The 14,397-nt window shown below is 39.8% G+C and overlaps 2 annotated features.

Moving 5' to 3' along the window:
- Positions 1,332-1,391: an enhancer, noted in NCBI's record as "active region_23010". NCBI's record gives its function as "activates an Ori minimal core promoter by ATAC-STARR-seq in GM12878 lymphoblastoid cells {active_cell/tissue: GM12878}" and the evidence as "EXISTENCE:reporter gene assay evidence [ECO:0000049][PMID:35858748]".
- Positions 1,495-1,709: a silencer, noted in NCBI's record as "fragment chr5:123935182-123935396 (GRCh37/hg19 assembly coordinates)". NCBI's record gives its function as "represses an EF-1alpha promoter that drives an FKBP-Casp9 reporter gene in an ReSE screen in K562 erythroleukemia cells {active_cell/tissue: K562}" and the evidence as "EXISTENCE:reporter gene assay evidence [ECO:0000049][PMID:32094911]".

Raw genomic sequence — 14,397 nt, 5'->3', positions numbered from 1 at the left:
CTTGAACCCGGGAAGTGGAGGTTGCAGTGAGCCAAGATCGCACCATTGCACTCCAGCCTGGGTGACAGAGCGAGACTCCATCTCAAAAAAAAAAGTACTAACTTTATCAAGCACTTACCATTGCAAATGTGTCTTCTTTCATCTTCTCAAGAACTCTGTAAGATACTTTTTTATCCTCATTTCATAGAAAAGGCTCAGAGAAGTTTATTAACTTGTGTACAGTCACAATTAAGTCATAGAACCGGGATATGACCTTAAGTTGGTTGGGATGAAAACCTGTCCATGAACCACACTCAAGCATGGACAATGTAGAATTTGAATTATTATTTTATTTTTATTTTTATGTTTTTAGAGACAGAGTGTCTCCCTGTCACCCAGGCTGAAGTGCAGTAGTGCAATCATAGTTCACCGCAGCCTCAAACTCCCAGGCTCAAGCCACCCTCCCACCTCAGCTTCCTGAGTAGCTGGAATTACAGGTGCTCACCACTGTGCCCAGCTAATTTTTAAAATTTTCTGTAGAGACAGGGGTCTCGTTATACTGCCAGGGCTGGTCTTGAACTCCTGGGCTCAAGTGATCCTCCCGCCTCAGCCTCCCAAAGTGCTGGGATTACAGGCGTGAGCCACGAGCGGAGTTTGGATTATTTAACCCTCATTTTTCTCCAAGTAGAAAACATAACAGGTTTTATGTAAATTTTAACTTTTTCATATCTCAGGGTGAGCCTGGATATTTTGCAAGTGAAATGAAGAGTAAGTATCGAGGCTCAGGAAGCACACCCGAACTTCAGTGTTGTCAATATTCCTGCTTATTCCACCGTGACAGGTTTTCTCCCCACCCTTCACATTTTTATTCTCAAATATTATATGGAAAAAAATGTGCTCTGCACTATGACAGAGCTTTATGCTAAAGGGCTTTCAAGAGAGTTAGTAGAGAAGTAACTTTGCTCTGTGTTTAAATAGCTTTCCTGAAAATATCACTCTGCTCAAGCGTTAGTGTTGCCTTTATAAATATATACAAAACCATTGGAACAAATGAACTTAAATTTGCAAAACTTCGAAGAAAAAATAAAACATGATCAGATCGCTCTTTTCATTAGAAGCTGAACTGGGTTCACAATTGCATTTCCAATTCAATTAAAAATGTAAAATTCACTGCAGTCTCTCCTACAATGTTGTACTCCTTTTATCTGGAATTTCAGGTTTCTTTTTTCTGTTTCCTGGGATTTGCAAAGTAGCAAAATCAGCCAGTTTACATTTAAGATGTTTTGATTCTTTTCTCAGACTCTTGCCAGTGTACTTAACACAGAATGATTAAAAGCTGTGTGTTCTGTTAGAACTGTTATAGTGTTTAAACAAGGAAGTCTGTGTTTGTTTAAGAGAATGGGGAAATGGTTATCTTGACAGATTAGACTGAAAAAACAGGACAGCCACAGTCTAGAACAGATGTCCACATTTGCCACTTGGCTGGCTTTTTGAGGTATACTAAACAAAACTTGCTTGTGTGCTTGTGCCTCTGTTCTGCTTGACACCTGACTGAGGAATGTGATTAAGAGCTACTGCCAGGGCCTGCGTGCCTCTGTGGGCAAATGTTCCCAGGTTTGAAATTTCTCAGCGTCTGTTTAACTATGTCATAATTAAACTAATGGAACACAAGAGAAATTTCTCTAACGGGCTTAAAGACCCCGTTCAACTGCAGTTTCATCTCACATCACACACGGTTCCCGTGGCTTCACTGAAAAGTTGAAATGAAGCTGAACAGAAGCTGCAGGGTACACCACATTAATCAGTCTTTTAAAAATGTGATCTTAAAAACTGGATGAAACATCAGTGGCAGTTGTGGTTTAGTGGGAATAGCACTGTATGAAAATTCAGGAAACCTTAATGCAAGCCCTAACTCTGCCATTTACTATTACAGCTGTTTGATCATGGTCAAGTCCTCACTTAACCTTTCTAGGTTAACGAAGCTATTGTTGATGATACTGATGACAACAGCTTGTGTTTATTAAGCCCGTATTCTGTGCCAGGCAGTGTTACAAGCTTGACACGCAATACTCCATCATACCCTCAAAAAAGCCCTGAAAGGTAAATACAGTTAGCTTTGCTGTTTCCTATGGAATCTCAGCAAACTAAGAACTTTGCTCAAAGTCAGATATCTAATGCGTAGCATACCAGCTAGGGTGTTTCCCAGGTCTAACAATTATACTTTATTGGATTTCTGTCTTTTCAAGGAGGATCTCCAAGGTAATTTCCATTTGTAAAATTCAATATTTGTGAAATCTGAACATATGAAAATCACTTTAAATATGTCAACAAATAAAAAAGACTCAGACTTACCCTTTTATAGTTGTGGTTATGCATAGATATCTACATTGCCTCATTGCACAGTTTACCATAAATATTAACATATAATTTTTAAATCAAATTTATGAAAGTATAGAATAGCCTCACTACATGGTATTTGCTCACTCAGATTTGGGGAGTTTAAACCTCTGGAATGTGGGATTATGACTTTTTACAGAGGAATAAATTCAAATTATAGTGTACAGTGTAGGACTTTGAGATATGCTTGCTAGCTCATATAAGAAATGATCAATTTCTTGGTCACTGTCTTTGTTGTATTTATTACTATTTATATAACTTCATTTTAACTTTATAATAATATGGATGATATTTAAGTATATTTAGTCTGTATTTAGAAGTTATTCTACTGCAGCTTTATTGGTAACAAAGAAAGAAAGGTTTCCATTGGCTTACTTTAAATAAGTAAGATCTTTTGACTTATCTCAAATATATTCTCATGTGGTATGTGAATATATTTTCCAAAAACCATGACAGCACAGTTTTGTTGTTGTTGTTTTGTTTTGTTTTTGAGACAAGGTCTGGCTCTATCACCCAGGCTGGAGTGTAGTGGCACAATCTTGGCTCACTTCAACCTCCACCTCCCGGGCTCAAACCATCCTCCCACCTCAGCCTCCTGAGTAGCTGGGACTACAGGTGTGCACCAGCATGCCCGGCTAATTTTTGTATCTTTTGTAGACATGTGGGGTTTTGCTACATTGCCCAGGCTGTTCTCAAACTTGTGAGCTCAAGCAGTTCACCCACGTCAGCCCCCAAAATTCTGGGATTACAGCCGTGAGCCACCGTGCCCGGCCAACAGCACAGTTTTTATTGAAAATATAAAATTTGAAATGTCAAAGTAGCAAGTGGCAGTCCACTTCTTCCCTGGCTGTGTTGTCAGTGTTACTGGGGTTACCCAGGTCTTTGGCAGACCAGACAGGATTATGACCATGGATTCTACCGGCTTTATTCTTAGAGACTAGCTAGAGCATCCCATTAATGCAAAGTCTAAAAGACTGGTTTGAAGAATTAAGCATGCACCAATTTTATATATCTGTACATATTTATTAATCAAATAAAATGTATTTAATAATTACTTCTTGTGCAATTATTTAAATGACTTATGGTAGTGTCTAAGCTCCTTTAATCTTTACCTGAAGACAGTCAGCCTGGGTAGCTTCATTTCTAGTCCTCTTGCCTTACTTTTACTTCTTTTGGCTCTAACCCTGCTCCCTTGTAAATCTCATTCCTAACATTTGGAACCACCTTTTACTCTACATCTGCTATTTTTCTCTCCTACCACTTCTGTTCAGGATAAATATCTTGAAATTCTAACCTCAGCCGTCAATGGATCAAATGATGAAAGGACTTATCCAAAAAGCTATTTTGTTTACCACAAAAATAAGAGGCCATTTCTCCCCAAAGAGGAATCTATTGTTTTGTCTTATCTCCTTTCGAATGAAAGAATTGAACAATTGAACCAGCAGGGCCACTTGTTTATCCCCATGCTGACACAGTGCCATGCAGTTGATATTAATAGATAACAAAGGAATTTCAGCGTAATTACTTCTTACATACATTCTTGGCCATGTGTCATGTAATTTCCCTGGTTTGATTTCCCCAGGAATTCCTAACGCTAGGAATTTAGATTAGTTTCTGCTAACATTTAAGATCACCAAATTGAGGCTGTGATCTCCATTTCAAACATAGCTCAAAGATAAATACAAATAATGAGCTTCAATATGTTGAGTCATGGTTAGGAAAAGTGAGGTCCAAATCTTCAGAGGCTGTTTGTCTAGGATGAGTCATGTGGTCTGCCCCTTCCACAGCTGAGCATTTACTCCGGTGAAATCAGGTAAAGCAATGATCTGAGACAGGCCACAGAGCAGTCTGTGAGGTAGGGGTGAGTGAGGCATGCCTGGGTATTTGAGTTGATTTATGGGGGACTTGTGTGTTTATGAAACTCGTGGGTTTTTGGGTTTTTTGGTTTTTGGCATCACTGTCTAGACTGCTTCCTTCTTCCTGCTCCTCACCCCTTTTCCAGAACTAGTGCTAGCTTGACTACTGTTGATCCATGGATTGTGCATGCAAAGCTCCAGGCCAAAGATGTTCACCAGGGTTTAGAGATAAACAATTTAAAAAATATATCTTTCAAGCAGTGCTTCACCCACTTGGGTTATCTGTGAACCCACTTTTCTAAAATTTACCAAATCTTAAAAAAAGTTGACCTACATTTTAATTTAAATAAATGTATTATAGAAGGAAACAAGATATCCCATGCTATAAATAGGAGACTCCATTCAAAACTGTGGAGACAAAACAATGGAGTTTAGACTTTAAATGCTAAAAAGGATCTGAGTTTGAGGCCTGTTCTCTTTTTCTGAAAGAGATGTCAGGGTTAGAGAGGTGGCAACCGCATACCAGTGCCAAACTAAAACTTTCTCCTTGGCTGGGTGTGGTGGCTCACGCCTGTAATCGCAGCACTTTGGGAAGCCGAGACAGGTGGATCACCTGAGGTCAGGAGTTCGAGACCAGCCTGGCCAACATGGTGAAACCCTGTCTCTACTAAAAATATAAAAATTAGCAGGGCATGGTGGGTGGGCGCCTGTAGTCCCAGCTACTGGGGAGGCTGAGGCAGGAGAACTGCTTGAACCCAGGAGGCAGAGGTTGCAGTAAGCCAAGATTGCGCCACTGCACTCAAGCCTGGGCAACAGAGTGAGATACCATCTCAAAAAAAAAAAAAAAAAAAAAAAAAGGCCAGGCGCAGTGGCTCACACCTGTAATCCGAGCACTTTGGGAGGCCAAGGTGGGTGGATCACAAGGTCAGGAGATCAAGACCATCTTGGCTAATACGGTGAAACCCTGCCTCTACTAAAAATACAAAAAATTAGCTGGGAGTGGTGGCATGCACCTGTAGTCCCTGCTACTTGGGAGGCTGAGGCAGGAGAATTGCTTGAACCCAGTAGGCGGAGGTTGCAGTGAGCCGAGATCACACCACTGTACTCCAGCCTAGGCAACAGAGTGAGACTCTGTCTCAAAAAAAAAAAAAAAAAAAGGAAAAAAGAAAAACAACTTTCTCCTTGATGTATTCAGAAGGATTGAGAGAAAACTGAAAATAGAATAACTTGCTCACTGTGTAAGTTAGCGTTATGTAATGCTGTGTTTGTGATCTACTTCATTTCACACACCTTCAATAGCATTTGTCTCACACAATGAGAAATGTTTTTAACTACTGTCTGGACCAGATAGTAGGTGGCAGTAGATTCAACATGGATTTATCGAATGCCTATCATGTGTATCATTTGTGCAAGGCATTACGGGGAATACAAAGAAAGCAGATTAACTTGAACTGGGGTTAGAAGACATAAATAATATGTATTATATATATGTGTGTGTGTGTGTGTGTGTGTGTGTGTGTGTGTGTGTGTATGTTTATATATTGAGTATTTCAAGGATGTACTTTCCTCCTCCTGGTGTTTACCATTCTTAAAAAATACATAATCTTAATATTTTTTCACCACAAATCCTTTGAGGATTGAATATTATATTGATTAAATAATGAGGCAGTGCCGTGTGCTTTGGGCTTGATAATCTTTGAGAGTAAAATAATACTAGATTTGGTGACATGACTGGTGTCTTGTTTTTCCCAGCTTTTAAGTCTAGCATTTCATAAAAAACAAAAATGTTGCATTTCATTTGGAAATTTAAAGTGCTCTAAGTGAAATCCACGTGAGTGAAGGGGTGCCCAGTGGCTCACAGCTCAAGAGTGCCCCATTGACTGTGCCTTCAACTCGTTTCAGAGAAGTTGCTGGCCACGCTTGGCCACAGTGTTAGCCTTCTGAATGAAATACAGACACCAAATAGGAAATCAGAACAGGGGGACTCTCTAAAGAACAGTTCTTTTTTTTTTTTTTTGAGATGGAATCTCGCCCTGTTGCCCAGGATGGAGTGCAATGGCGTGATCTTGGCTCAATGCAACCTCTGCCTCCCAGGTTCAAGCAATTCTCCTGCCTCAGCCTCCTGAGTAGCTGGGATTACAAGTGCACACCACCATGCCCGCGTAATTTTTGTATTTTTAGTAGAGACGGGGTTTCACCATGTCGATCAGGCTGGTCTCGAACTCCTGATCTTGTGATCAACCCGCCTCTGCCTCCCAAAGTGCTGGGATTACAGGCATGAGCCACTGCGCCCTGCAAGAACAGTTCTTTGATACAGTTCTTTAGTGAGAAGGACTTTAATCATGGAATCTGGCAGCTTTTATCTATCTTAGTGAGGACGCTCTCCTTCCAGGTTCCAGAAGCAGGACACATATCCATGCATTTCAAAGGTCCTGGACATAAGGCTGTTGTGGGCTATGCAGGACTCTCAGGACATAAATCTTGCACCAACCCTGGGGGTGTGGGACAGCAGACAGCTCCTAGGTGCAGTTTTCTCCTCACCATGCCCTAAATGAAGTGGAAAGGTCACTTGGCTAATCAAGCAACGGGCTTCTTGCTTGTATTCAGATATGCTTTTACTGCATTTGGTTTAGTACACCCAGACTTCGATATCATACTGAGAATTTAAAACTCACCTTAGGCTGTCCTTTGGGACAGGTGTGTGCTCATATGCATGTGTGTGTTCCAGTAGGGTCTGTCCCTGGATCCCCAGTACAGCTTTGAAGTGGAATGGTGGCTCCACACACAACAATGAACAATTCTTTTCCCTTGTTTCCCCACACTTGCTCCCCCTGCCTTCTTCCCTGATTATCTCTCTACTGTTCTTGCCATCTTCTGGTGCCCTATCTCTCAGCACCATTTCTACTTCCCAAGCAACTGTCCAACAAACTGTTGCATCTTAGCAAATATTGCTAATCCAGAATCCTTTGGTTATTTCTCAGAGGACTCCATTTGGAAAACTGTTTCTCCTTTCAGATTTGGGGAATCATAATCTTAAAACTTAATTCATTTATTCAACAAATGTTTCTCAAAGGCCTACCCTGTGACAGGTACTGTGCCAGATAGACACTTAAATAAATAATACATTTTCAGCACTTTTAAGAATTTTAGAATCCGGTGGGAGGAGACAGGCAAGTAAATCAACGATAATTATAAGTAATATATTAGTCATAATAAAAACTATGTCAGGGTGCCGGGCAGGGTGGCTCACGCCTGTAATCCCAGCACTTTGGGAGGCTGAGGCGGGCAGATCAATTGAGGTTGGGAGTTGGAGATCAGCCTGACCAACACGGAGAAACCCTGTCTCTACTAAAAATACAAAAAATTAGCCAGACGTGGTGGCGCATGCCTATAATCCAGCTACTCCGGAGGCTGAGGCAGGAAAAGCACTTCAAATGGGGAGGCAGAGGTTGCAGTGAGCCGAGACCGCACCATTGCACTTCAGCCTGGGCAACAGGAGCGAAACTCCATCTCAAACAAACAAACAAACAAACAAACAAACAAAAAAACCCCAAAACTATGCTAGATCTACTGGTATGCAGTTGTGCGAATGAGGAGGAGAGACATCTCAATCAGATGCTCTGGGTTCTTCTAGCTCCCTTACTGGCCCTTTTGCCACATTGAGCACCGCAAAGTGTTTACGTCACTGTAAGAGCAGAGTGTGAGAGTAGGGCTAGCACACACTGGTATGACTGTTCCAGTTGTTAAAACATTGAAATACTCCTGTACCAGTAGGTGATGACTTCAGTGTCCCTTCTACCCCAGGAGCCCCAGCTATTTCCCACAGACTCAGCAACTAAGGACAGACTGAGGCCCTGCAGGCATGGCTCCAGCATTTTGGCCTGGGGCCATTCTGTTTAGTTGTCATCTGGGCCATAAAGATTGCTTGATGGTTTGAATATCCTCCCTGTGTACTGGACTTGTTGGGCATTGAATCTGCTGCACCCAGCACAGAGACTGCCATTTAAGTAGTGCACAATAAATATTAGGTGGATGTTTAACACGTAATGTAATTACTAGGATTTAGGATGGGGAAGTTAATAGACCAGGCTTCTTGAATGAAGCAAGACTTCAGTCGAGTTTTGGAAATCTTAATTTTTTTAATTACAGAAAGAATAAATGCACATCATTGAATTTCATGAAAATTCTGTAAAGTACAAAGAAGAAAAAACAATCAGCTATTATCATACCACCCAGAGGCGGCCACAATTGACAATTTGATGTGTTGTCTTTTGGAATTTTCAATATGTGTATTTACTTCTCTCTCTCTCTCTGTGTGTGTGTGTGTGTGTGTGTGTGTGTGTGTGTGTGTGTGTATGGGCATGTATGCAAGTGGGCCTGTAAGAGGGGTGTGGTGGTCATAATAGTTTAAAATTGTTTGATGTGGCTTCTTTTATTTTTCTAAGCACTTGACCTTGGCCTTATTCTGCCTAATGTACCCACCTATCCATCTATCAGGAATGCAGACAGGGAACACAGTGATATTCAGTTTTTGATATTCAAAGATATGATTTTACAGCAAGTCAATAGTCTTGAAAATCAGGATATTTCTTGGAGAAAAATAATTCAAAATTACTTTGTTTCCTTATTTTTTAGCATGTCAAAATCCACACTTAGTGAACTAGACCATAGGTAATTTCTTAATAGAGGGCCTGTCAGGAAGATTACAACACTCTTCCAGTCCAGGGAGTTTGGGGGAAAAAGAAGGAAAGAGAATTGGGAGAGAGAAAACATCAGATATGCGCTGTGAGTTAGAAAAGTGAGGTGAATAACAGGAGTCTTTCCCACCTTCTCCACCTGATGCCCATTTGGGAATGGGGGAGGTTGCCACACCGGCTACTGTGTATCAATCAGACGTGAAGCCACAGCAAAATAAATGGTGGTACAGCAAGCTCAGGCAGAGAGAGGTCTTCAAGTTTATCTTTTTGGAGCAGTCCTTGGTCCCTGTGGAGCAAAGAAGGACCCAGCGTGACTGTGGAGACTGTCAAATGGGGTTACCAGAGTGGAGGCGGGGTGTCTCTGTCACAAAAGATGTAGAGCTGACAGCTCAAGCTGGGGCTCAGTGGGAAATGTAAGACCTGAGAGAAGTCTAGAATGTCAAGCTTATCCAACCAAGCTGAGAGACCAGGTTGCCAGCTCCACCAGATACATGCTATGAATGGCATTTGGGGCTGTAGTGTCTAGGGGGTGAGGTCGTTGCTCCAAGCGCAAGGGAGGCCGAAGAACTGAAAGAAATTGACTTGGCTTTTCTGCCCTGAGGTGAGTAAGCTTCACCTCTCCCCTCTTACCTTGAGATATTAGCATTTCTATTCCATACTACTTAAAGCAGCAGTCTAATTTATAAAATCAGATTAAATGTTATACCTGACAGGACACTTAGTTAATGTTTTCCCAAATAATGATAGCTGAGTACTGGAAGGGAGGAACAGATCATCCATAGATGAAAGAAATTACATGTTTTCTCCATCTACCTGCATTGTGTTACTTAAAATTGTGCATGCACACGCACATTCAGTAAGACCATCATACTGGGTACAGAGTTATTCCTGTTAAAGTTGTTTTGTTGGCAAAGATCAGAAACTCCCTAAGGTTCACTCAGGTAACAGAGTAAGGGATAATTTAAGAATCCCAAAAGGCAATTTCATGGATATCTACAGATGAGAAGAAGAGAAGACAGGTTTCAGGAGAAGTAGAATGGGAAATTAAAGACCCACGTTTATACTCACAACCTCAGTGATCACAGGATCGCTCTCATTTCTGCTTCCCCCTTATTAAGCTTGTTCTTGGTACAATATATACTGATGGCAAGTAAACACACAAAAAGATGCTTAGCATCAGTAGTTATTAGGGAAATGTTCATTAAAACCACAATAAGCTAACATTACACATTTATTAAAAAAAAACACTGGCAAAAATGCAGAGCAACTAGAACTCTCACAGTGTTGGTGGAAATGCAAGATAAATATTTTTTTATCTTGGAAATTTTTTTATCTCTGGAAAACAGTTTGTAAATTTCCTATCAAGTTAAACATACACTTCCTGTATGATGCAGAAATTCCACTTCTACATACTTACCAAGTGAAATGATTTTTTAAAAAGTCTACATGAAGGCTGGGTACAGTGGCTCACACCTATAATCTCAGCACTTTGGGAGTCCACAGCAGGTGGATCACCTGAGGTCGGGAGTTCAAGATCAGCCTGACCAACATGAAGAAACCCATCTCCACTAAAAATACAAAATTAGCCAGGCTTGGTGGTGCATGCCTCTAATCCCAGCTACTTGGAGGCTGAGGCAGGAGAATCGCTTGAACCCAGGAGGCGGAGATTGTGGTGAGCCAGGATCGTAGCATTGCACTCCAGCCTGTGCAACGGGAGTGAAACTCTGTCTCAAAAAAAACAAAACAAAATAAAAACAAATAAAAAGTCTACATGAATGCTTATAGCAGTTTTATTTATAATTTCTCCAAACTAGAAAACAAAACAAAACAAATGTTCTTTAACTGGGAAGTGCATAATCAAGTTTTAGTACATCCAATACAATGGCATACTACTTAGTAGTGAAAAGGAGTAAACTACTGATATATGCAACAAGATAAATGAGTCTCAAATGCACTATGCTAGTAAAATAAGCCAGATTTAAAAGGTGACATGTTATATGATTCCATTTATATGGCACTCCCCAAAAGGTAAAACTATAGAAATGGAGAATAGGTCAGTGGTTGCCAGGAGTTAGGGGTGGATGAGGACATTGTCTGAAAAGGAGAAGCATAAGGGAGGTTTTTAGAGTGAAGAAGATCAGGAAAATGTTCTGTCACCTCATTGTGATGGTAGCGACATGGCTCTATGCATTTGTCAAAAGTCATAGCATTTTACATTAAAAAGAATGATTTTATTGTATGTATATTTTTAAAATTTTGAAAAATGTTAAAAAGGAAGTCGAAAAACAATTCCAGTAAGACAGAAAATATAATTGACACTTCTCAGGTCAGATTACAATGTTGGTCCAATGATGGATGATTCCTCAGCAGAGCTCTGAGCTGTTTCTCCAGGTTTTGAGTGGTTCAGTAACCGTGGGTTGGCAAATGAAGAGACTTGTCCAGTTGTACACTGTGGCACCATTGATTAAGGTTATTTTATAAGCTTTTTCCCACATCTTTAAAATTATCTTGTATGCATCTATTGAAAATGTTTCTAGTGACCCATTCTACCTATAAATGTATCTGCCAAGTTTCAAAGAAGAATTTGAAAGTCACTTGATAACTAATTATCAGAGATATGCAAATCAAAACCACAATGAGATACTATCTCATTCTAGTCAGAGAGGCTACTATAAAGTCAAAAAACAATAGATGTGGACGAGGCTGTGGAGGAAAGGGAATGCTTATATACTGTTGGTGGGAATGTAAATTAATTCAGACATTGTGGAAAGCAGTTTGGCGATTTCTCAAGGAACTTAAAACAGAGCTACTATTTGACCCAGCAATCCCATTACTGGGTGTACATCCGAAAGAAAATAAATTGTTCTACCAAAAAGACACATGTAGTCATATGTTAATCATAGTACTATTCACAATAGCAAAGATATGGAATCAACCTAGCTGCCCATCAATAGTGGATTGAATAAAGAAAATGTGGTACGTATATACCATGGAATACTATGTAGCTATAAAAAAGACGAAATCATGTCTGTCTTTGCAGCAACATAGATGCAGCTGGAGGTCATTGTCCTAAGTGAATTAAGGCAAGAACAGAAAGTCAAATACTATGTGTTCTCACTTATAAGTAAGAGCTAAACATTGGGTGCTCATAAACACAAAGATGACAATAATGGACACTAGGGACTACTAGAGGTGCGAGGGAGGGGAGCAAGGCTGAAAAAGTAACAATTGAGTACTATGCTCAGTAGCTGGGTGATGGGATCAATCATACTCCATGCCTCAGCATCGTATGATATACCCATGTAACAAACCCGTGCATGTGCCCACTGAATCTAAAATAAAAGTTGAAATTATACATATATATATAATTATATATATAATTATATATATAAAATTATATATATAATTATATATATAAAATTATATATATATATGAAAATAACTAGATAAAGTAAGGAAGGAAAGCAAAGAAGCAGGAAAAGATCTAGATGCCATCTACTCTCAGAAGTGCCAGAACCAGCATCCACTCAATCAAGGACTTAATACAGAGAAGCAATTTTGAGTATAACATTGTGATAAGTAGTTTGTGTTGCATCAAAATATATATGAAGATTAAACTTCAAGATGCCAAGGAGCTATCTAGTTAGAGGGTAAAACTAACACATAGAAAAAAGATACAAGTATTCCTATTTTCTGCTTAATATATGTTTCTAACGGTTTGCCTCTAAGCCTTGTAAAATTGTATTATATTAAGTACAAAAACCCTATAGAATAAGCCTTGGAAGTATCAAGGTCTGAAAATCTTTGAAAAGTGCAAACATGTTTCAGGTACTCTTTACCTTATTGGTATAAGGCGGAGATGTTACATTTTGCTATTACTTATAGTTTGAAATAGCTTCCTTGATTTTTGTAATCAAGTATCTTTGTGCAATTGCTGAGCATCTTGAAAACACTTCAAAATCAACATAACTATATATTCGGTAGAAGTACCAAAGCAGCAGCAATTAAGCCCAGAGCTGCTAGCTGATATTTAGGAGTATCAAGTCACATTTTCTGCACTATGAGAAATTGTCTCAACTTTGGTTTACAACATAAAAATGGGTGAATCAGTGTTATATCAGGAAACAACACACTCTCTGGCTACTTCTCTCAGACGAAAAGCCACATAACTAATGTCACTAGGTTTATTTCTCTTCTTTCTAGGAATAATGTTTCTAGGTTAAGACTGAAGCCAATGGCAAGAGTGTGTGTGTGTGTGTGTGTGTGCATGCTGGGGGAAGATGGGGGGTAGTCCAATCTCTCTTTACGCGTCCCTCAAAGTGGCAAATATTAGAATGTTCTCATACTTGATTTTCTGATGAGCAAATACAGTCATCATTCAGTAGGCTGTGTAAAAGAAAAATAGGAAATCTTCAGTAATCTCCTCTTGTCAGACTTCGCATAACATAAATGTATCAGTGGAAGATTAAAGGCCAATTCATGAAAATAAAATAGAATGACTTGAGGTGATTCAGGGAGAAGAGAACACATTGTTTGTAAATGAAGGTTAATGATACCTTTGCACCAGCTGCAATTTTGTAGCATGCATATTTTGATGAATTATACCAAGGATGTATCATAATTTGTGACCTATATACAAAAGACTCAAAGTGAAGTAGTTATCCACGTTTTATTGTAATTTTTTTTTTCTGATCAGAATCCCCCTTCCCCATATCACTAAACTCTCTATATGGGTGTATATATTTTTTCAGACTATTAGTTCCCCCTGGAGACTATAACACTGACCAGCCACAACATGATTAAAGAGAAAGAAATAGTTGTATGAGTCACCTACCCATGTCAACAGGGGCTCACAGGGATGGATTTAAATTTTTTAAATTTAGATTTATTTACTTTGAAAACTGTTGATGGAGGCCAGGCGCGGTGGCTCATGCCTATAATCCCAGCACTTTGGGAGGCCGAGGTGGGTGGATCACCTGAGGTCAAGAGTTTGAGACCAGCCTGGCCAACATGGTGAAACCCTGTCTCTACTAAAAATACAAAAATTAGCCAGGAGTGGTGGCAGGTGCCTGTAATCCCAGCTACTCGGGAGGCCGAGGCAGGATAATTGATTGAACCCAGGAGGCAGAGGTTGCAGTGAGCTGAGATCACGCCATTGCACTCCAGCCTGGGGGACAAGAGTGAGACTTGGTCTCAAAAAAAAAAAAAAAAAATTGTTGATAGAATTTTTACATTTCGCCTCAAAAAGGCTGTACGATATCACTGCTGACACTACATTTACGCAGAGACTGACTTTATGCTAACAAATATTCTGTTCAGATTGTCAGCAAAGCTGAAATGAATGAGCTTAGCACAATTCAAATGGATCTTCGGCATATCATCAATCAATTACGTTCTCCCTGGCACTCTTAGGTTAATATCAAAGTATACAATACAACATCATCCATTTTACTTAGCATTCTTTGTGT

Source organism: Homo sapiens, chromosome 5 (genome assembly GCF_000001405.40).
Source record: "Homo sapiens chromosome 5, GRCh38.p14 Primary Assembly".
Lineage (NCBI taxonomy): Eukaryota > Metazoa > Chordata > Mammalia > Primates > Hominidae > Homo > Homo sapiens.
The sequence above is the reverse complement of the archived record's forward strand: the minus strand, read 5'-3'. Positions and strand labels throughout refer to the sequence as shown.